Here is a 23741-nt window from a genome sequence, read left to right on the forward strand (position 1 = left end):
TTCCCGGCGGTGCCCCGCCCACTTCCCCTCCCGCGCCACGCCCCCCCGGCCCCGCCCCCTCTCCTCGAGGCCCCTGCGCGGGCCCCGGGTCCGGGTGGCGTCCGCGTCCAGCAGCCGGGCTCGCCTCCACCCGGGTCTCCTCCTCCCTCGCGCCCCTCCAGCGCCCTAATTCATCTCCAACTCCGCGTGACTACCCTCTAACCCCCCGACTCACCTCCAGCCCCGTCACGAACCCTTCTGTGCCACTCCCTAGCTCCGAACCTACTAAGCCCCCCGCGACCCGCAGCTTCCCGGTTCACCCCCATCTCTGTCCCCACCTCCTCTGAACCACCTCCCAGCTTCCCGGCTCACCCCTAGCTCCGAACCCTCTCACCCGCGCCACCCCGAACCCCAGCTTCCCGGCTCACCCGCATCTCTGTCCCCACCTCCTCTGTGCCAACCCCCAGCTTCCCGGCTCACCCCCAGTTCCGCCCCCACGCCCTCTGTGCCACCCTCAGCTCACTGGCTCACCCTCAGCTCCGAACCCACTCACCCCCCACCCCAGGCTTCCGGATCACCCCCATCTCTGCTCCCACCTCCTCTGTGCCACCCCCAGTTCACTGGCTCGCCCCCAGCCCCGTCTCCACTCCCTCTGTCCCACCCCTCAACGCCCGCTCACCTCCAACCCGGCTCCAGACTTCCCCCTTACCTGCCAGCGCTCCTCAGCTCCTTGCCTCACCGATCCCTGCCCTGCCCAGGGGGCGGCCCAGCTTCAGATCCCACGAAGCAGGCCGTTGCAGGGGGTGGGGGTACCGAGGCTCTGGCTCACAACCGGCAGGACGTCGAGGGCAGGAGGCCTGGCTCTGGTCCCAGGACCCCCGGCCCTCCCCGAGGGCGGAATCCAGCCCGCCTCCTGCTGCCTCCCACTCGCCGCGGGGGGCGGCTGGGGGCCCCAGACCCGGGCAGGTCGCTCCTTGCCGCCGGGCGCGCTGGCCTTCTCAGCACGGCCTTGTCCAGCAGTACCCGCAGCAGTCAGCAAGAACGCCAGACCCACTTTTGAAACTTCAAAACACTAGTAAACATGCCTTTCATTCTGGCCATAAACACAAGAGTAACTCTAAGTGGAAATGTCAGGAAACCAGAGAAAGGGATTAAATCTCGGAAATTATCCATCAGCTCAGGCAAAAATAAACACGACGCACACCTCAGAGGAAAAGAGAAGAGAGAGAGAGACTCTGCCCCTCCCAGGAAAAGTAAAAATGACAGGCAGTTATAACCAGATTAGAGATAGAAAAGATCAAGAAGTAAACGCTACAGCCCAACCGCAGATTAAAAACTAATGCAGTGTATAGATTGGATAACTTTAATGCCCATTCATTATTGGCTTTAATTATAAAGGGATTTAATTTTCTAGCTACATTCAAGGGGATCAAAATTATAAAGTGTTCTGAGCACTTCAGACACCCAACATAAAAGAGCCCTGCACTTTGGGTTGTTTTATACCCTTTACCACCTCCTAGAGCCCACCCCAGAAGCAGTGTCTTTGAAATTGGCACAATATTCTCCCTGGACGGTTGCAAGTGGGTGAGACTGATATGAAGAAGCTTTAGTGCAGGCGGTGTGATTGACAGCACCCAGGCTTCCCACCCCACCCACTGCCCAGAATTTTCCGCCTCTTCACTGTGCCTCACCTTCTACTAATTACCTAGTCACATTTCTGGATGTCAGGTATTTATTCATTCACTTATGTAAACGGTGGGTGTCTTCAGGAGAGTGACCAGTCTGCCTGTGTGGGAGTAAGGGAGAGGAAGGGGTGGGAAGCATTTTGACATTCGGTTCACACCTTAGCATGAATTTTTTTTTTTTTATGAGACAGTCTATCACTCAAGCTAGAGTGCAGTGGCGTGATCTCAGCTCACTGCAACCTCTGCCTCCTGGGTCAAGCAATTCTCCTGTCTCTGCCTCCCAAGTAGCTGGAATTACAGGCATGTGCCACGACGCCCGACTAATTTTTGTATTTTTAGTAGAAATGGGGTTTCACGATGTTGGCCAGGCTGGTCTCGAACTCCTGACCTCAGGTGATCCACCCACCTCGGCCTCCCAAAGTGCTGGGATTACAGGTGTGAGCCATCGCGCCCAGCCTGCATGAATTTCTTTAATTTCACTGGTTACAATGCAGTCTCACCTGTAGTACCTAGCAGAAATCACTCAAGGTAGGTGATAGGAGATTCAGCTATGTGATGGTGAAATAAGAAAAGAAATCACTTTGAAGTATCGGGGCACTGAAAGCATTTTAAAGCACATACTTCAGAGAATTACGGATTACAGAAGGAAAAGGAGGTTAGGGTCAGCTAGACAGCAGCATGAGGTCCGTGGTGTCAGGACTCGAGAAAAGAGGCACAACTTAGACAATGCCAACCTTACCAATTTTTTTTTTCTTTTTTGAGATGGAGTCTCACTCTGTCGCCCAAGCTGGAGTGCAGTGGCGCGATCTTGGCTCACTGCAACCTCCACCTCTCGGGTTCAAGCAATTCTCCGCCTCAGCCTCCCAAGTAGCTGGGATTACAGGCACCCGCCACCATACCCATCACCATCTTGGCCAGGCTGGTCTTGAACTCCTGACCTCACGATCTACCCACCTCAGCCTCCCAAAGTGCTGGGATTACAGGCATGAGCCACCACGCCAGGCCAACCTTAACATTTTAAAGGCAGGCTCTGCGTTCTGGCCTATACTCAGTGAGGTAAGAGTATTGAAATCAGTATCAACAAATAATATCCCAGGGTAAGGAGAAGTTTCTACAGAATTTCTGTGGTGCTGGTGAAGACATTATTTGTACAAGCCTGAAACTATTATATAACAAATATTTTGACATCCTTGGGGAATGTTAGTGTCTGTTTATTCAAATGCCAATATAAAGTACCTTTTAAAGTTCATGCTTATAATGAGAGAGAAGTAGTAAATAACTTCTGACAGTGTGTTTTTTTGCATTAAGCCACTGAAACATTACCTTAGTCCATTTAGGCTGCTATAACAAAATACCTGAGACTGGATAATGTGTAAAGAACAGAAATGTATTGCTCACAGTTTTGGAGGCTGGAAGTCCAAGATCAAGGCACCAGCTGACGTGTGTGCTGAGAGCTCATTCCTCATAGATTTCACCTTCTGGGTGTCCTCACATTGCAGAAGGGGCCAGGGAGCGCCCTCAAGCCTCTTTTACAAGGGCACTGATTCCATTTACAAGGGCTTCACCTTCATGACCTAGACACCTCCCAAAGATCTCACTTCAATACCACCACATGGGGGTTAGGTTTCAACATATGAATTTGGGGCTGGCAGGGGGCACATACATTCAGACCATAGCAAAACATCTGTATTCTGAGTTCAAATCAGAGTGAGTCTTCATCATCACCCATGCAGCTGAATTAGTCTTTTCTGTTTTGTTTTGTTGTTCACAGGCTCTTGGAAATCAGAAAACACAAACTTCTAATCCAGTGCTCTATTCATTAACCCACATCTTTTCTTAGACTTTGTCAATCAAGGTTAGGGACCTGGGCCTTGGAGCACAAGCCTCAGAGTCACCAGTATCCAGGCATTTACTTAGAGATTATTCTCATGTGCCTCCATCCTGACCTTCCATTAACCCAGCCACTAGGTTCCTCCCCACCTCTAATCTCTGCCCACTTGTTGTTTGCTTTTGGGAACTCTAAAGAGTCTTTTTGTGCGTTTTATTTATTTTTGTTTTTTTTTATCATTCTCAAGTTTAATAACTTAGGTTGTTAATAGACTAGAAAGAACCTGAAAAAGACACCAGAAGTCCAACTGAGCTTGCCTTTTCAAGCTGATGACTTTAAATGCCGCTAACTATAGAGAAGTTTATCTTGCCATTTTTCATTTGTTGCAGAACCTAAAACTAGATTACTTTGAAAGCAACTGTGCAATGAATTTGGGCTACATTTTAGCAAATGTGTTTATTTCAAGACATAATTTCTTATATTTCAATCATTTCTAAAACAAATTGTAAATTTTAAAGGTTATATAATGCCTCTTAAAGATTTTTGTATGCAACTATGTGTACATATAAATGGGAAACTTGGCATTTAATCATAGAGTCCTTTATATAGTTTTTAAATTGTTGCCTTGTCACTTCAACAATATTTTTTATTTGGCCAGAGACAAGGATGATACTTTCTTTGCTATAGCACAATGCTGGGCACCTAGTGATAGCAAATATATATATAAATGGACATACTGTTCAATGTAATTTGTTGAGTAATTACTGTTAAAATAATTAATTGGGAGGTCATTAGGCTGAGGCAGCTCCAGTGCTCTGGGTTCCTACTTAAGCAAGTTAAAACCTAATTCAGTGTAAACAGTAAAACAAAACAAGCTTAACCAATCAGAAACCTCCAACTAACCTCTAACTAGGGGCTTTCCACTGGAATGATCCAAATAAGGCCATTGCTCCACTTTAACTGATCAAATATTTTCTTTGCCTTGCTTCCTCATTCACCCTATAAAAGCTTTTTCCCTCCTGCCCCTTTGTCAGAGCCTAGAACCACTTGCGGTCTGGAGCTGCCTGATTTATGAATCACTTTTTGCTCAAATAAACTCTTTAATATTTCAATGTGCCTCAGTTGGTCTTTTAACACTACTGTGTGTAAACCACACTGCAAAGCTCTATGATGAACATGCATGAGGGTCAATCCATGACTTCAGGTGACTTACACTTCATCAGGGGAGATCATGTAGGAGGCATCATGATAGAAGTACAGTTCAAACACTGTGGCAGTCCCAGCAGGGCAGGATTCATTATGGAGTTCAGAACATGTATAACAGAAAACTGTTCACTTAAAGTAGGCTTGAAGGGTAAGCAGACTTTCAGAAAGTGAAGACAGACCAGGGAGAGTGGGTAGACTCCTGGTTGGTTGGAAGCTAGGCTGGAACAGTGGCTTTGACCTCAGATTGGGGAGAGTTTTGAATTCCATGCTATGAAGTTTGGACTCTATTTTACAGGCAATGAGAGGTTATATTTTAAAATAATCAGAGCATTAGAAAGATCATTCTGGCACTTTCATGTCTAATAGGCTGTATATGAGTGAACACTAGAGGGAGGGAGAATAGTTAATAGGTGAATGCAACTTTGAATTGAGAGGCAACCTGGCCTGATTTAGGTGGTAATTCAGAGACAGGAAATAGAAATCATCAGCTCTTGATACTTTATAAAGAGCTTTCTCATTTGATCCAAACAACCACTGGGGGATGAGTATGACTCAGAGTTCTACCTGACAATGAGGAATAAAGGGCTGATAAAAGGTAGTTGTATTGCCCAAGTTTGCTCAGCTAATAAACAATAGAGCCTTGCCACAGGCCATTGACTTCTTACTGGGAAGATACCAAAGGCAGAATCCATGTAACTGTTTGTGCAAAGGCTGAAACAAAGTCTGCATTTCTAGGGGATAGCCAAAACACTGGAAACGGAAGACAGGACAGGGGAGTCCGTTCCTCAAGCAGTATGTAGAAACACTGTCATTCAGGAATGAGGGAGGGAGGGAAGGAAGGAAAGAAGGAAAAAGAAAGAAAGAGGGAGAGAGAGAAAGAAAGAAAACAAGAAAGAAAAAGAAAGAAAGAAAGAAAGAAAGAAAGAAAGAAAGAAAGAAAGAAAGAAAGAAAGAAAGAAAGAAAGAAAGAGGGAAAGAAAGAAAGAAAGAAAGAGGGAAAGAAAGAGAGAAGAGGGAGGGAGGGAGGAAGGGAAGGAAGAAAGAAAGACAGAAAGAGTGAGCCAGGCAATATTACATGGTGGTTCACACGTATAATCCCACCACTCTTGTAGCAGGACAAGCTGCAGACAAAACTCATCAGACACCGGGTTAAAGAAGGAAGGAGCTTTATTCAGCCAGGAGCTTCAGCAGACTTGTTTCTCAAAAGCCAAGCTCCACGAGTGAGCAATTCCTGTCCCTTTTAAGGGCTTACAACTCTAAGGGGGTCTGCGTGAGAGGGTTGAGATCGATTGAGCAAGCAGGGGGCTGCACGCACTGGTAATTAGAACGGAACAGAACACGACAGGGTTTTCACAATGCTCTTCCACACAATGTCTGGAATCTATAGATAACACAAGCAGTTAGGTCAGGGGTTGATTTTTAACTACCAGGCCCAGAGCACACACCGGGCTATCTGCCTGTGGATTTCATTTCTGCCTTTTAGTTTTTATTTCTTCTTTCTTTGGAGGCAGAAATTGGGCATAAGACAATATGAGGGGTGATCTCCTCCCTTACTCTGAAAGGCCAAGGCGGGAGGATTGCTTAAGCCCAGGAGTTGGAGACCAGCCTGGGCAACATAGTGAGATTCTGCCTCTACAAAAAAATAAAAAATTAGCTGAACATGGGATACATGGGCTACACACCTATAGTCCCAGCTACTTGGGAGGTTGAGGCAGGAGGATCATTTGAGCCCAGGCAGTCAAGGCTGCAGTGAACCATGATCACACCACTGCACTCCAGCCTGGGCAGTACAAGACTCTGTCTCAAAAAAAAAAAAAAAGGAAGACAGAAGGAAGGAAAAAAGAAAGGAAGAAAGGAGGAAGGAAAAAAAGAAATGCAGTCAAAGGAAGTGCAGAAACCTAGAAAACATTTGGGAAGGATCTCCCAGGAGTTTGATTTTCTCAAGTGCAAGGTGAAGCACTTAGCTGTGGAGGCTTAGAGAGGCAATAGCTTGCCCTTGGGAGATAAGAACAAGCAACTTAAGGGTTTTCAACAGTAGCCAAATATAGTGGATGAGGAGATGGGAAAGTGGGGTAGAGAATTAAAGTAGCATATGTGAAAAATCGAGGCAAAAGGAGACTATGGAATAGACAGGCAAGCTGGTGGGATTAAAAAGGTGTAATGAGAAGGAAAAAAATACCTGGACTGATAGCACCCATTTATTTCACTCTCCCTCCTTCCCTCCATAACCCCTTCCTCCCTCACTTCCGTTTTTCCTTCCTTCCCTTGCTCCTTCCCTCCTTCCTCCCTTCATTTCCTCCTCCTTTTCTTCCACTCCTTCCTTCTTTTCTCTCTCCTTTCCCTTCCTCCTTTCCCTCCTCTTTCCCCTTCCTCCTCCTTCCCTCCTTTCTTCCTTCCTCCTCTCTCCTTTCCTTTCTATTCTCCCTCCTTTCCTACCTCCAGCCCCTTCCTTCCCTCCTTTCTTCCTTCCTCCTCTCTCCTTTCCTTTCTATTCTCCCTCCTTTCCTACCTCCAGCCCCTTCCTTCCCTCCTTTCTTCCTTCCTCCTCTCTCCTTTCCTTTCTATTCTCCCTCCTTTCCTACCTCCAGCCCCTTCCTTCCCTCCTTTCTTCCTTCCTCCTCTCTCCTTTCCTTTCTATTCTCCCTCCTTTCCTACCTCCAGCCCCTTCCTTCCCTCCTTTCTTTCCACCCTCTTTCCTTCTTTCTCCCTTTCTCCCTCTCCTCTTTCTTTCTCTCTCTCTTTCTTCCTTTCTTTCTTTTCTTTCTTTCCTTTTCTTTTCCTTTCTTTCTTTTTCCTTCCTTCCTTCCTTCCTTCCACTTTATTCTTTATTTTACTTTTTAGAGACAGAGTCTTGCTCTGTCACCCAAGCTGGAGTGCAGGAGTGTAATCATAGCTCACTATAGTTTTGAACTTCTGGGCTCAAGGGATCCTCCTGCCTTGGCCTCCCAAAGTGCTAGGATTACAGACATGAGACATCACAACGGCCTCCTTCCTTCCTCTTTAATCTACTTTGTGCCAGGCAATAACCCAGGCTTAAAGATGTAAATAAGTGACTCTGAGACAGTAAATGAAACCCTTTTAGAAAGAGAGTAATTATTTTTGTCAATGGGGTACTCTGCCTAAACATCGGAAATGATTGTGTGGGGCGGGGGGTCACACTCAGTGAAGCCTGCCATTAAAATGTCAAGCCTTCTTTATTTTTAGGAATCATTTTTCTCTGTGGTGGCTTCCAATTTTAATAACACTTTTACACCCGGGCACAGTGGCTCACACCTGTAATCCCAGCACTTTGGGAGGCCGAGGCAGGTGGATCATGAGGTCAGGAGATTGAGACCATCCTGGCTAACACAGTGAAACCCCATCTCTACTAAAAATACAAAAAATTAGCCAGGCATGGTGTGGGCACCTGTAGTCCCAGCTACTCAGGAGGCTGAGGCAGGAGAATGGCGTGAACCCAGGAGGTGGAGCTTGCAATGAGCCGAGATCGCGCCACTGCAGTCCAGCCTGGGCAACAGAGAGAGACTCCATCTCAAAAAAAAAAAAAAAGCACTTTTACATGTGTTACCTCTCTTCATCTCCACAAAAGTCCTTACTTAGTCAAAATATGCCACATAGGCCAGGTGCAGTGGCTCACGCCTGTAATCTAGCACTCTGGAAGGCTGAGACGGCAGATTGCCAGAGCTCAGGAGTTTGAGACCAGCCTGGGCAACATGGTGAAATGCCGTCTCTACCAGAATACAAAAAATCAGCCGTTGTGGTGGCAGGTGCCTGTAATCTCAGCTATTTAGGAAGTTGACGCACAAGAATTGCTTGAACCCAGGAGGCAGAGGTTGCAGTGAGCCAAGATTGTGCCACTGCACTCCATCCTGGGCGACAAAGCAAAACTCTATCTCAAAAAAAAAAAAAAATTATATATATATATATATCTATCTCACATAACTCGACGGAACCCTGGGTGAGCATTTCTCCCTGAGCTCATTCCAATGGCTATTTTTTCCTAGAGAATTCCTCCAAGATGTCCCTTCTACAGCTCAAATATCCTTAAGTCCTCAAACAGCTGGTCTTCTGTCAAGAAAGAGTTTTGAATATTTTGCCTCCTTTATCACCCTCCTCCACACACATACAATTTGTCAATATTTGTCTTAAAAGGTCGTGCCCATATGTAAGTGAAAAATTCCAGATGTGTTGACACGTTCTAAATAGCGGTGGCCGGCTTCCTCCACTTGACAGCCTACTTTTGAAGCACAAAATTGAATGAACATTTGGAGTGACACATCACATTTCTGCATGCTGTTGAACTTAAATCCAACTTCAGTTTTATTTAACCCCTTTCCAAGTAAGATGCACAAGAGAATAACCCCATAAGTGTTAAGATAGAAAAAGGATAAGCAAATATGTCCTTGTTTAGGTATAGGACATTTCCAAGAGGGCATGTCAGAAAATGTGGACAGTGGCTGTTAACTTCTAGAGTGTAGAGGATGGGCGTTTCTAACCCTTTACCATATACCCTTTAGTACTACAGTCATGCGTCACTTAAGGACAGGGATGCGTTCTGAGAAATGCATTGTCAGGTGATTGCATCATTGTACAAATGTCATGGAGTGTACTTACACAATCCTAAGTGGTGTAGCCTACTACGCACCTAGGCTACATGGTACAGACTATGGCTCCTAGGCTGCAAACCTGTACAGCAAGTTCCTGTACTGAATACTGTAGGCAGTTGTAACACAATGGCAAGTGTTTGTGTATCTAAATGTATCTAACCATGGAAAAGGTAGAGTAAGAACATGGTGTAAAAGATAAAAAATGGTTCACGTGCCAAGCACTATGAACGGAGCTTGCAGAACTGGAAGTTACTCTGGGCAAGTCAGTGGGTGAGTGATGAGTGAATGTGAGGGCTGAGGACATTACTATACACTGCTGGAGACTTTATAGACACTGCACACTTAGGCTACACTAACTAACTTTATGAAAAACCTACTTTCTTTCTGGTTTTTTTTTTTTTTTTTTTTTTGGAGACAGAGTCTTGCTCCATCACCCAGGCTGGAGTATAGTTGCGCGGTCTCGGTTCACTGCAACCTCTGCCTCCTGGGTTCAAGCAATTCCCCTGTTTCAGCCAGCTGAGATTACAGGTACCCGCCACCACCCGGCTAATTTTTGTATTTTTAGTAGAGACGGGATTTCACCATGTTGGCCAAGCTGGTCTCAAACTCTTGACCTCAAGTGATCCGGCCACCTCGGCCTCCCAAAGTACTGGGATTACAGGCGTGAGCCACGCACCTGGCCAAAACTTTTTTCTTCAATAATGAATTAACCCTAGCTTAATGTAACTTTTCACTTTATAAACTGTAAAATTGTTTTTGACTTTTTGACTCTTTTGTCATAGCACTTACCTTAAAACACAAACGCATTGTACACGTGTGCAAAACTATTTCCTTCTTTACGTTCTTATTCTATAAGCTTTTTCCTATTACTTTTTCTTTTTTTACTTTTTAATTTTTTTTGTTAGAAACTAAGACAAGAACACACACACTAGCCTGGGCCTATACAGGGTCAGGATCATAAATATCCCTGCCTTCCACCTCCACAGATTGTCCCACTGGAAGGTCTTCAGGGGCGATAACACACATGGAGCTGTCATCTCCTATGACCACAATGCCTTCTTCCGGAAACCTCCTGAAGGACCTGCCTGAGGCTGGTTTACAGTTAACTTTTTAAAACTATAAGTAGAATGAGTGTATTCTAAAACAATGATAAAAAGTATAGCACAGTAAATACATAAACCAGTAATATAGTTGATTATCATGATCAAATATTATGCAGTGTACATAATTATATGTGCTATACTTTTATAAGACTGGCGGTGCAGCAGGTTTGTTTACATCAGAATTACCACAAACATGTGAGTAGTATACTGCGCTACAACATAAGGATGGCTATGACATCACTAGGTGATAGGAATTTTTCAACTTCATTATCATCTTATGAGACCACTGTCGTACATGTGGTCTGTTATTGATTATACAGACCTCGAAGGAGTGTTGTGAACAGTAAATTAGAGACTGCCTATAAAATGCTTACCCCAGTGCACAGAACATACTAGGCCCTTAAAAATATTAGGTATTGGCCAGGCGCAGTGGCTCATGCCTGTAATCCCAGCACTTGGGGAGGCCGAGGTGGGCAGATCATGAGGTCAGGAGTTTGAGACCAGCCTGACCAACGTGGTGAAACCCTGTCTCTATTAAAAATCCAAAAATTAGCCAGGCATGGTGGTGCGCGCCTGTAATCCCAGTACTCAGGAGGCTGAGCGGGGTTTCTTGAGCGCAACACTATCCCAGCCATCAGTGAAAACAATCAAACAATAAACAGGATGAACGCAAAGACAGAAACATATGCCTGATGACAATCTGTTGACTCACATATTTTGTGTACATTTTGCTGTCACTTAACTATGGGATACTAGGGGCTAAGAATGCCTAAAACTGATCTGTCCAACAGGACAGCCACTATCCACAAAGGGTTCCTGAGCCTTGAAATGTGGCTAGTCCGCATGGAGATGTGCAGTCAGCATAACACGCAGTCTGGATTCCAAAGGCTGAATATGAAACAACTGTGAGATTTCTCCTTAATATTTGTTCGTATTGATTGCATGTTCAACTAATATTTTGGATATATTTCATTAAATAAAATATATTTCTAATTTCACTTGTTTATTCCTGTGGATTTTATGTTTATTTTTCTTTTTGAGTCAGGGTCTCGCTTCGTCCCCCAGGCTGGAGGGCAGTGATGTGATCATAGCTCACTGCAGCGTTGACCTTCTGAGTTCAAGTGATCCTCCCACCTCAGCCTCCCAATGTGCTGGGATTACAGGCATGAGCCACTGCACCTGGCCTGTTCCTGTTTACTGTTTAAAAACGTAAACAGCTACTGTTTAAGTTTACTTTAAAGTGACTACTAAAAAATTTATAATTACATATGAGACTTGCATTTTTGGCTCACGTTATGTTTCTATTGAACAGTGGCAGTCTAAAATAAGTCCCGGATTTCAGGGGCTTATAATTTAAATATGTATACGTGTATATATATATGTATATATAATATATATATACATATATATTTATATGTTTCCTACAGCAGCGTGACAGTGAACTGGGCTTTATTCAACTCTACAGATGAGCCCAACTGAATTCTACAATAAATCCCATGCAGCAAACAGCAGCACAGGCCAGCAAATAGGTTCCTACCTTTTTTATTCTTTCAGTGGAAAGGCTGGTACCAAAGTTTAATATATATATATTACACATATAATATATGTAATATATATTATATAATATATGTAATATACATTTTATATAATATATGTAATATATATTTTATATATATGTAATATATATTTTATATAATATATGTAATATATATTTTATATATATGTAATATATATTTTATATAATATATGTAATATATATTTTATATAATATATGTAATATATATTTTATATAATATATGTAATATATATTTTATATAATATATGTAATATATATTTTATATAATATATGTAATATATATTTTATATAATATATGTAATATATATTTTATATAATATATGTAATATATATTTTATATATATGTAATACATATTTTATATAATATATGTAATATATATTTTTTATATATATGAAAGGGTTAAGAAAAATACAATGCATTAGTGAATAGTATAAGTACCAAAACAGAGTGCTATTGACTCCAGGAGTTCATAAATGAGGACCATACATAGAAAAGCCTTGGAAAGAGTGTTAGACTTCTCTGGGCCTTTAAGGAGTTAGAGACAGGACAAGAAAGAGGCCAACATGAGTGACATCATGGAGATGAGGAGTGGGCATGTGAGCTCCCCATGATGAAAATCTAATGAGCTGAGGAACTCCGCATAAACCAGATGAGCTTTTAGAGAAGGAGGAAGCGTAAAGCACAGGTAACACAGGTACCTTTAGTGCAGGAATGATGAAATCTGTGTTTTTGTTTTTGTTTTTGTTTTTGAGACAGAGTCTCGCTCTGTCCCAGGCTGGAATGCAATGGTGCGATCTCAGCTCCCTGCAACTTCTGCCTCCCAGGTTCAAGCAATTCTCCCGCCCCAGCCTCTCTAGTAGCTGGGATTACAGGCGCCCGCCACCACGCCCAGCTAATTTTTTGTATTTTTAGTAGAGACGGGGTTTCACTATGTTGGCCAGGCTGGTCTGGAACTCCTGACCTCAGGCTATCCACCCACCTTGGCCTCCCAAAGTGCTGGGATTACAGGCGTAAGCCACCGCGCCCGGCCACAGTCTGTGTTTTACAGGGTTAACACGGCAGAGGTACAGAAGGGATGCAATGGGGGAGGAGAAGGAGCTGACACACTGGAAGAAGGAAAGAAAAATTAAGAAGCTAATGTTTTATTAAGTCCAGGAGTTTGAGGCTGCAGTGAGCCATGATTGTGCCACTGCACTCCAGCCTGGGCAACAGAGTGAAAGTCCGACTCAAAAAAAAGAAAAGAAAAAAAGGAAGGAAGCTAATGTTTTAGTCTGTGCTGGAGTTAAAGCTGCCCCCCAGATCAAGGGCCTGGCTGTCAGGATGGAGAAGAGAGGGTGTGTGTAGAGCTTGATGACTGGTTGTGTATAGAGATTTGAGAATTATCCTCAGAGAACATCTATTCACGTTCCCTTTTTTATCCTGAATGAATGTGAATTGAGAGAATGACTCTAGCGGTCACTGAGACTGTCACACAAAATAAAAGTCATTCAGTTGACAAAATTCAAATGGAAACAATTCATTCAAAAGCTCCTTCTTAACCGCAGCCAGCATTTCCAAGAATCCTTTGGTTAGGACACTGTTTGCAAACCCTGTTCAGATAACAGATTAGCTGAAACTAAAACTTGGCGAGTTTCCACACTTGGCACTGCTCACTATTTAAATGAACATTGAATAATGGGGTTAAAATTCACTGAACAGAAAGTGGAAGAAGACCAAAAGCTCTCAGTGCACGCTGGCCAGGAAACTGCACGAAGAGCAAAGGGGAACTGGACTGTAAATAGAATCAGGAGCACCAGACAGAATTAATTTACACAAAGTCATCAGTGTTTCCTACAGCAGCGTGACAGCAAACTGGGCTTTATTCAACTCTACAGATGAGCCCAACTGAATTCTACAATAAATCCCATGCAGCAAACAGCAGCACAGGCCAGCAAATAGGTTCCTACCATTTTTATTCTTTCAGTGGAAAGGTTGGTACCAAAGTTTAATTAACTAGTGAAATAGTTTTACATACTCCCTCCAGATGCATCTGTCATAAATTGAAAATAACTTTTAAAGTGATGGCCTCCCTTCTACTCTAGAGACCTTGAGATCTACCATTCTTAATTTATTTTTTTCACCTAAGTGGTTCATTCACTTATTATTAATTCTTATTTATTATTTATTAAACATCTACTATGTGCCAGCCACCGTGTTGTGTGGTAGAGACACAAACTAACCAGCAGTTCCTCCCCTTAAGATACACAGGAGACCAGCATGTAACCTCACAAGTTAAATATGCACAATTGGTCCTATGATCGAAGTGGGGCAGATGATGCCCAGCTTCCTGGGTGCAATGGCAAGGCACTAAATGCTCAGGCAGGGGGATTTGTACAGCCCATCCTCAGTATTCACAGGTTCTGTATTTGCAGATTCTATACTGTAAATTCACCTTCTTTTTTTTTTTTTTTTCTTGAGATGGATTCTTGCTCTGTTGCTCAGGCTGGGGTGCAATGGTGCAATCTCGGCTCACTGCAACCTCCACCTTCCAAGTTCAAGCGATTCTCCTACCTCAGCCTTCCAAGTAGCTGGGATTACAGGTATGCTCCACTACACCCAGCTAATTTTGTATTTTTAGTACAGATAGGGTTCTACCATGTTGGCCAGGCTGGTCTCGAACTCTTGACCTCAGGTAATCTGCCTGCCTCAGCCTGCCAAAGTGCTGGGATTACAGGTGTAAGCTACCATGCCTGGCCAACAAATTCACCTTCTTGCTAATATTTATTTGTAACCTCAAGATCAATACTTGTGACAGTTTTGGGGTCGCTTGTGGATATAAGAGTGGTAAAAATTTTGAGTCACCTGATGCACACATTCCCAGCTGAGGTGGAATAAGCCAACACTCTGCCTCTTGTTTCAGTTCTTGTTTTGTAAACAAGTGTCCTTTTTGCAGTCTACTTAATACCATGTTTTCCCCATTTTGTGCTTTTCGTAGGTGATTTCTCTGTTTAAAATGGCCCCAAGCATAGTGCTGAAATGCTATCTAATGTCCCAAAGTGCAAGAAGGCTGGGATGCACCTCATAGAGAAAATGTGTGTGTTAGAGAAGCTTCATTCAGGTATGAGTTATAGTGCTGTTAGCCATCAGTTCAATGTTAATGAATTAGCAGTGTACATTAAATAAGGCATCTTTAAACAGAAACACTCATGAAACAAGGTTGTGCCTTAATGGACTGACAAAAATGCTGGAACAGAGGCTCATAGGAACATTATCCTATATTTTCATTTAGGAGCAATGGCTTAATATTCATTAATTCAGTGTTCACAGCAACTTTATAGAACAGAACTACTGTGAATAATGAGAACTGAGTGTACTTTAGAAACACTCTGTCTTAGTCTGTTGAGGCTACAATGGCAAGATGCCTTAGACTGTATACTTTATAAACAACAGGAATGTATTTTTCACATTTCTGGGGCTAGGAAGTCTAACATCAAGATACCAGAAGATCTGGTGTCTGATGAAGGCCTGTTCGTCACAGATGTGTCTTCTCACTGTCCTCACATGGTAGAAGGGCAAAAGGTCTCCCTCAAGCTTCTTTTACAGGGACACTAATCCCATGCATGAGGGCAAATCCCTCATGACCTAATCACATCCTAAGGTCCCTAGTCTTAATACTGTCACACTGGGGATTAAATTTCAACCTGAATTTTGGGAAGACAAAGATTTAGGCCACAGCAGTTCCTTTTGGTGGAGTTGTGGTCAATGGGTTGAAGGGTTTGTGACTTACTGTCATTGAATTCAGTAAGACTATCCTAGCGGTTCATCTGAAAAGATGAGGGCCTACGCCAAAGTAGTAGCAGTGAGGATTAATTAATTAATTAATTCATTCATTCATGCAGCAACTATTGCTTGAACACCTATGACATGGCAGGGCACTATGCTAGATATGGGAGGTATTTCAGAGCACAAGGCAGATAAAGTCCCTTTATCGTGGAGTTTTTTATTGAGTGGGATGAAGAGGAGAGGTCAGATGGACAGATATTATGGATGGGGAACCAACAGTGACTGATTACAGTGGAAGAGAGAGAAGAAGTCAAAGGTAAGCCCAGATTCTGTGTCAGGCAGCAAGGTGAATGTGCTAATTCTCCCAAAGAGAAGGAACATAACAGGAGAAATAGTCTTCAAAGACAGTGAAGAAGTCAGTGTGATACATGTTAATTTGGAGGCCATGGAGGAATTGCCAATCAGAAGTCCAGTGGCAGGTAAACCTATGAAACCAAGAAAACCAGGTAAACCGAGGATTCAAGAAAGTAGTCACTACCCCTCTACTTCTCACCCTTCCCAAGATGAGCTCCAGGCAAGATTGTGACGTCGAGGACCACCTCTCAGCAGTTCCCTCAATCTTGGAGCCTGCCCTTTGGCTAAAGTCCCCTGTCATTCATCATGGTCCTCAGGCCATTTGCCTCTATCATATGCCCACCCTTCTTGCAAGAGGCCTCATTTCCAGCTCCTTTGGATGCCAGCTCCTTCCTCATCTTCCACAACCTCAGCCAACTTCCTTTATCCCTTCAGTATCTAGGCAGGTTTTGGTTCCCACAGTGCAGCCATTCACCCACCAGGTAGCCAACCACGTTATAAAAACAGGCCTGAAGAGGAGCAGAAGTTCTAGACAATTGCCTGAGTCCCCAGTGAATTTACTCTTGTTCTGTGCATCCCATACGCCGATCTCTCTAGCTGGCTAATACACCAGCTTCCACACCATTTCTGGCTTCCTTGGCTGTCCTTACTTTGCACCTGTATTAGTCCGTTTTCACATTGCTATGAAGAACTACATGAGACGGGAATTTATGAAGAAAAGAGGTTTAACTGACTCACAGTACCACATGGTTGGGGAGGCCTCAGGAAACTTACAATCAAAGGGGAAACAAGGCATGTCTTTCATGGAGGCAGGAGAGAGACACAGTGAGGGGGGAAGTGCCACACTTTTAAACCATCAGATCTTGTGAGAACTCACTATCATGAGAACAGCATGGTGGAAATCCACCCCCCATGATCCAATCACCTCCTACCAGGTCCCTCCCCTGACACGTGGGGATGGGAACTATAATTTGACATGAGATTTGGGTGGGGACACAGAGCCAAACTATATCAGCACCCCACTCATGTCCCCACTTTTGCAGGGCCTCCATGCCTCGGGGAAGAAGCTCCCTGCTCAATATCTGGCCTGTGGAACCCAACGGCCAGGTCAGTGTCTGAGCCTGCCAGAGGAGGATTGCAGAGACTCTGCTTCTAGTGTCAGTCAGTCTTTCAAACCAGGGCTCTTGGGGACATAGGTGGTTATGGGGAGTTGAATCATTGTTTGTATACATGCCTCATTTCCCCCACCAGTTTTCAGCTGCTTGGTGGCAGGGGGCGTGCTTTACTCATCATCAAATCATCCTCAGCCTCCAGCACAGTAAACAGCACATAGCAGGTATTGGGAAAAAATCTGTAAAGTCAAGCCCAAAGGTGGGGATTTTAAGGCAGAAGGTGATCTTTTGGCAGTGGAGTGGTGAGAGGATGCTTTGATGACAAGCAGGGCTTTTTATATCCTTTAAACTGTCCCCTCCAGGCTGCTACCCTTTTTGCCATCTATGTGGCAGTTCTGGATTAAGTTCCACGAAGCAGGACCCTTGATGTCTTGTTCTCTGCGCCATCCCCAGGCCCAGATGAAAATCTAGCCATAGTAGGCACACATCAATTCCTTGTTGAGTCAATTATCCCTCTATTTTGCTCTGCAACTCTCTCAGGTGTGATAAGAGATACAAAGAGCATTAAAGGTTAGTCTCACACTCACCAAACTCCTGATCCAGAATGTGAATGGCCCCATTTAGGAGATGAAGCCTCTGATCTTAAAATTTTATTTGGCAGAAACCAAGATATAGCTACAAACTCAGCTTTACACTTCATGCACTAAAGTATTCTTGCTTTTGCAGCATAAGGACTTCAGCCTCCGATTATTAGGTAATTGCCATGGATGATCAGTTATCTGCTGAAGGCACCTGCTTAGTGTCTTTTACTCTTCATCACTCTGCATTAGTGAATTTAATCCTACCCTCTGTGCACAACTTTTGTGTGCTCTTAAAATCAGCTTTAATATTAAGCAAATCTGTGTCTACTTTAAAAGATTGGAAACGGAAAAAAGAGATAAATTTTTGCCAAATCCTTCAAAAAAAATTCGTTTGGGGTCTTCTGCCTCTGATCATAATAAAGTCACTGGTACCAGAGTTGCTCTCCTGCTGCTAACAACTAGAAAACCAGACAAAACCTAGGAAACAGCTGTCTTCAGACATTGGTAGCAGGCAACAAGGGACTGTGGTCCCTGAGGGAACCTTAACAAGTAAGGTGAGTCCTACACTTGCCCTGGCTTCCACACGGAGACACTTTCTGGAACCCAGGCAGAGCACTGGGGGGCTCACTTCTGAAGAGATTGAGATTGAAATTTGGAGAGCGTGTGGGGCAGGGCATCAGAGAGGAGAAAGCTGTGCAGAGGGAAATCTGCCTCGGGATACCCTTGAGTCTTTGCTGAACACCTACAGCTTCTACTGATGAGCTGTCAGCTTAATGATTGCCAGAGCTGGCCCAGCGCTGGGGGAAGCTGAATTCTGACAGGGCAGAGGGGAGAGATGAAGCAGCACGCTCAGTGCATTCAGTAGAGAAACCGGAAGTTTCTTAGTAGTAGGACTCTACTAGCCCTGGGCAAAGGCATTTGTTGTATTTAAATTGACCAACTCATGAAAAGTCCTATTTCTATATTTCTCTGTGTGTGTGTGAGAGACAGTGTCTCGCTTTGTCACCCAGGCTGGAGTCTAATGGCACCATCTTGGCTCACTGCAACCTCTGTCTCCCAGGTTCAAGTGATTGTCCTGCCTCAGCCTCCCAAGTAGCTGGGATTACAGGCATGCGCCACCATGCCCAGCTAATTTTTTTGTATTTTTAGTAGAGATGGGGTTTCACTATGTTGGCCAGGCTGGTATCGAACTCCTGACCTCAAGTGATCTGCCCACTTCAGCCTCCCAAAGTGCTGGGATTACAAGTGTGAGCCACCGTGCCTGGCCTATTTCTTAATGTATAAATATACAGCTTAACTATCTTCTACACACTCAGATCCCTCAAAAACACTCTGACATCATCAGTTTGAGACATAAAGTTAACAAAGGAAAATTTATAAAATTAGAGCTTAATACCAAAAGAAGGGTTTTAGTAACTTCTATTTGTTCAGCACTGCATGATTTCTTTTTAAAATATATATTTTAATAAAAATTAAAATTTTTTTAAGTGTCAATTGTGGATAACATAAATATGAAAAGAAAGATGGTGTATAATCCCATCACTCACACAGACAACCATTCCATGCACTGTGTCATTTTAAAAGAGCACTTTCTCATACATATCTCATTTGGTCATCATGGCAACTGATTAAGCACACAGAGTGTATATGATTATGCACATTTTACAGATGAAATTAAATGGCTTGCCTAAGGACACATGGCTTAATGGCCAGGAAGCCAGATGTGGAATCAGATACTCTGATTGCAGATGCTTCTAGGCCCTGGGAGCTGCAGTTCCCAAGGAGCATATGCCCTCACACAGGCTTCGCTGACCTTTTCCAGCAAGGTATAAAAGAGGCCAAGGAAACATCTCAGCTATAACTAGCAAAGAAACTTTTTAGACTGAAAGAGTTAAGGAAAACCTTCCAGGAAAGTAAATAGAAATGCATTCAGAATGAGTCATATTTCCTTGGATCAAAGAAAAAGACTGGCTTTCATTTCACTTTTGGGTAATAGATTTTAAGAGGGAAAGAAGGACACCCTAGTTTATATCCCACACATTAATAAAGTTGCTTTCTAACCTATGAGAGTGCAGACAGCCCACATCAAGAATCACACTTGTTCAACTAGAGATGCCAGAAAAATAATAATAATAATTACACTGGGATAATTTGAGGATGAAACTAAGTAAATGACAGGGGAGGGGTCCTGAAATTTAAATTATCATTTTGGAAATCTCAGAATAGAGAATTTTTCCATTTCCTAAATCTGCTATTTTTTTAAAAAGGGGATTCATCAGTGAGTCCACCTTTTTTTTTTTTTTTTTTTTTTTTTTTAAGACAGGGTCTTACTCTGTTGCCTAAGCTGGAGTGCAGTAGTGCAATCACAGCTCACTGCAACCTCGAACTCCTGGGCTAAAGTGATCCTCCTGCCTCAGCCTCCCAGATAGCTGAGTCCACCCTCTGAAAATCATTCTTTCAGTTGTCTTTCAGTCTTCCTGGACTTTGAAAGCAGCCTGGGGAAGTCGCCACAGCCTAGCCCCTTCTCAGACTGTGGATTGCCATTTAGGTTGTTAGAGCCAAAGCTGTCCTTTTAGCCAGAATGAGTGAGTGAGTGTAAGGCAAATTCATAAAGGAGGTAAAAAGGTTTGCCTTGGTCTCATCCTCACTCACCCCCTTTGCCATCCCTGTTTTAAAAGAAATTTTCTTCTTAAACAAACACAAGGGAAGAAACACGTGACAAGCAGCTTTACATTGGGCCTGAGATTTATGTGTAAAGAGGGCTATGGGATGGATCCCCCGATACTTGGACAACAGGGGTGGTCTCTGCTCCGGCTCCAGGTCCCCTTCCCTCACTCCATTCTCTCCTATCATCCTCACCATTCCTAAGTGTGGTTTCTGCTGAGGACAAGAGGCCTTCTCATTTCCAAAGCATCTCAAAATCATGGACTACGCCAATTGCGTATCTACTCTTCCTGCATATATTAACCCTCTTATGGCGATTTAACCAGTAAGCGCTGAGGAGCACTGCACAGTTCTGCTGTCTGGGTAGATTTTGCTGCTGCCAAGAGATCAACTTCTAGAGATAAAGTACATTTGTTATAGGATATTTCCTGTTTCAGCCTTAAGATGTAGCCCATAAGACTAGGTGTGGTGGCTCACGCCTGTAATTCCAGCACTTATAGAGGCTAAGATCAGGTGGATCACTTGAGCCCAGGAGTTCAAGACCAGCCTGGCAACATGACAAAACCCCATCTCTATAAAAATACAAAAAGTTAGCTGGGCCTTGTGGCGCATGCCTGTAGTCCCAGACACTCAGGAAGCTAAGGCAGGAGAATTGCTTGAGCCTGGGAGGTGGAGGCTGCAGTGAGCCGTGTTTGTGCCACTGCATTCCAGCCTGGGTGACAGGGTGAGACCCTGTCTCAAAAAAAAAAAAAAGAGAGAGAGAGAGAAAGACCTGAGCTAGTGTGCTTAGCCCACTCACCATGGGATGCCCTGCACCACCTCCAGACAATGCAGAGAGTCCCCACCAGCAAAAAGACCCTCCTCAGATGCAACCCTTTGACCTGGGACTGCTCAGCCTCCAAAACTGTAAGAAATATATTTCTTTTCTTTATAAATTACCCAGTTTCAGGAATTCTGTTATAGGCAACAGAAAATGGACTACTAACTCTGATACTGCCCTGCACTCGTTAAGTTTTTCAGTACCCCAGTGCAGAACTGCTGAGGCCAGAGTCTAGGAGAGCCGCAATGAGGAAAGAGAGGCTGGCATGTATTCAAGAGGTCCTAGGGAAGTAGAATCACAGGAACTGGAAAATTGAATGGGAGGGAGGAGAGGAAAGGGAGAATAAATAACTGCAAGATTTCTGGACTGGGCAGCTAGATGCATGGTGGGGTGATGTGATCAAATAGGGACTACGTAGGCAGAGAAGGAGGAAATTTTGGAGTGAGACAATGGTTTCCATTTGGGTCATGTTGAGTTCAAGTTACCTGTGAGAAAATTAAGTAGAAAAGTATTATATTCTGGAATCTCTAGGGTCTAAGCTCAGAAGAGAGATAGCAGCTAGAGAATTACATGTGGGAGACATGAGCTTGGCTCGGGGAGGTGAAACCAGGTGGAGTGAGAAGAGAAGGCTAATAATGATATGCCAGGGAACACTGGCTCAGCCGTGGAGGCAGAACTATTTTGGGTTACTGATTTCCTAGACCATGGACTAAGGAATTGATCCTCTACTAGCATGTGCAAGGCTGAATCAGATGTCTCTTCTTCAATAAGGTTAGGAATTTCTTACTTCATAAAATAGGTAAAACATGAAATTCATATACCATAATGAATAATCATAATGCTACCTTATATGACTCTAACTCACAGCCTTTGTGTCTAAGGTCTTCTAAACCTAAATAGAACAGTCTCATTAAGGACAAAGCAAAAAAATAAACATCCCTGACATGGAAGAATGTGCTGCTCAAAGACAAACACTTGATTGAGACGCACAAGCGGCAACTTCTGAGCCTCAGAAACCCATTAAATGGTCTTATTCATGCATTTCTATGCACAGAAGTCTTAAGTGCTTAGGGGATCTTTTATTTTTTACTCCTCACTTCCATGCATTCATTTCTGAAGCCCTATGACATCATTAGATAAGCATCAGATGAGAAAATGCATCCCATGGTTTACCACAGGCAGAATATTCCATATATAATACTTAAGATAGCATTTTCCCACTGAACAGACCAAAGAATCCTCAACAGGCATATGCAGAAGCGGTCAAACAAGGGTTTTTCCCAGCACTCTTGGATGTTCTTTGAAAGGGCTAAAGTCAAAAGAATAGTAAAAATTTTTCCCAAATGTTATAGACTGAGCAATATCCCCCAAAACCTCATATGTTAAAATTCTAATCCCTTGTGCTTTAGCACGTGACCTTATTTGGAGTTAGGGTCTTTAAAGAGGTAATTAAGATAAAATGAGATCACTAGGGTGGGGTCTAATCCAATATGACTGATGTCCTTTAAGAGGAGGAAATTTGAACCTGGCCGGGCACGGTGGCTCACGCCTATAATCCCAGCACTCCAGGAGGCCGAGGCGGGTGAATCACAAGGTCAGGAGTTTGAGACCAGCCTGACCAACATTGTGAAACACCGTCTCTACTAAAAATACAAAAATTAGCCTGGTGTGGTGGCAGGCAACTATAATCCCTGCTACTCGGCAGGTTGAGGCAGGAGGTTGCAGTGAGCCGAGATCGTGCCACTGCACTCCAGCCTGGGTGATAGAGTGAGACTCTATCTCAAAAAAAAAAAAAAAAAGGAAATTTGGACAGTTACAGAGAAATGACGGATGCAGGGAGAAGACAGCCATCAGCAAGTCAAAGAGAGAACCCTCAAAAGGAATCATGTCTGCCGACACATTGATCTGGGACTTGCCAGGCTCCAGAACGGTGAGACAATAAATTTCTGTTGTTAAAGCTACCCCGTCAGTGCTACTTTGTTATGGCAGCCCGAGCAAACCAATACATCAAATAAGCAATATTTCATGTCTCTATATGACTATAAAGCAACAAATGGCTGGATATGGGTAGAGAATTCTAGCCTGCAATGTTTTCATGATGTGGGCCATAAAAGTGGATGCCGCCTTACAAATGGTTGCCTTAAATCCTTGGTGATTACAATCAATGCAATTCTTCAGTCCAGGAAAAAGACAAAGCTGCTTTCAAGGGAAGGGAGGAAACAGTAATCTGAAACTCCATCTGTACAATGACCAAAAATAAAAGCAAATGTGTTTGCAGTAGGCCTTGCCTTCTGCCCAAATTTTCTTTGGTTAAAACTGGGTAACTTGGCACCTCAGTATTAGCAGCCATTTATAAGTAATTGCTGGTAACGGGGAAAGTCAGACATCCAAGGCAGATGAGATGGGGAGAGGGGAGGCAGGATGTGGGGTAAATGTCCAAGATACTCACTTTGAGCTGGTCCACAG

General features: G+C 43.7%; 5 annotated features.

Annotated features, from left to right (window-relative positions):
• Positions 28-137: a silencer, noted in NCBI's record as "silent region_1948". NCBI's record gives its function as "represses an Ori minimal core promoter by ATAC-STARR-seq in GM12878 lymphoblastoid cells {active_cell/tissue: GM12878}" and the evidence as "EXISTENCE:reporter gene assay evidence [ECO:0000049][PMID:35858748]".
• Positions 6577-6865: a transcriptional cis regulatory region, noted in NCBI's record as "candidate enhancer chr1.12443 targeted for multiplex CRISPR interference". NCBI's record gives its function as "positively regulates FAM89A gene expression with high confidence in K562 cells {active_cell/tissue: K562}" and the evidence as "EXISTENCE:mutant phenotype evidence [ECO:0000015][PMID:30612741]".
• Positions 9087-9366: a transcriptional cis regulatory region, noted in NCBI's record as "candidate enhancer chr1.12444 targeted for multiplex CRISPR interference". NCBI's record gives its function as "positively regulates FAM89A gene expression in K562 cells {active_cell/tissue: K562}" and the evidence as "EXISTENCE:mutant phenotype evidence [ECO:0000015][PMID:30612741]".
• Positions 13500-13598: a transcriptional cis regulatory region, noted in NCBI's record as "candidate enhancer chr1.12445 targeted for multiplex CRISPR interference". NCBI's record gives its function as "positively regulates FAM89A gene expression in K562 cells {active_cell/tissue: K562}" and the evidence as "EXISTENCE:mutant phenotype evidence [ECO:0000015][PMID:30612741]".
• Positions 23325-23619: a silencer, noted in NCBI's record as "tiled region #4964; HepG2 Repressive non-DNase unmatched - State 22:ReprW". NCBI's record gives its function as "represses a minimal TATA promoter and a strong SV40 promoter by Sharpr-MPRA in HepG2 cells {active_cell/tissue: HepG2}" and the evidence as "EXISTENCE:reporter gene assay evidence [ECO:0000049][PMID:27701403]".

The sequence above is a fragment of the Homo sapiens genome, chromosome 1 (genome assembly GCF_000001405.40).
Source record: "Homo sapiens chromosome 1, GRCh38.p14 Primary Assembly".
In the NCBI taxonomy this organism is placed as follows: domain Eukaryota; kingdom Metazoa; phylum Chordata; class Mammalia; order Primates; family Hominidae; genus Homo; species Homo sapiens.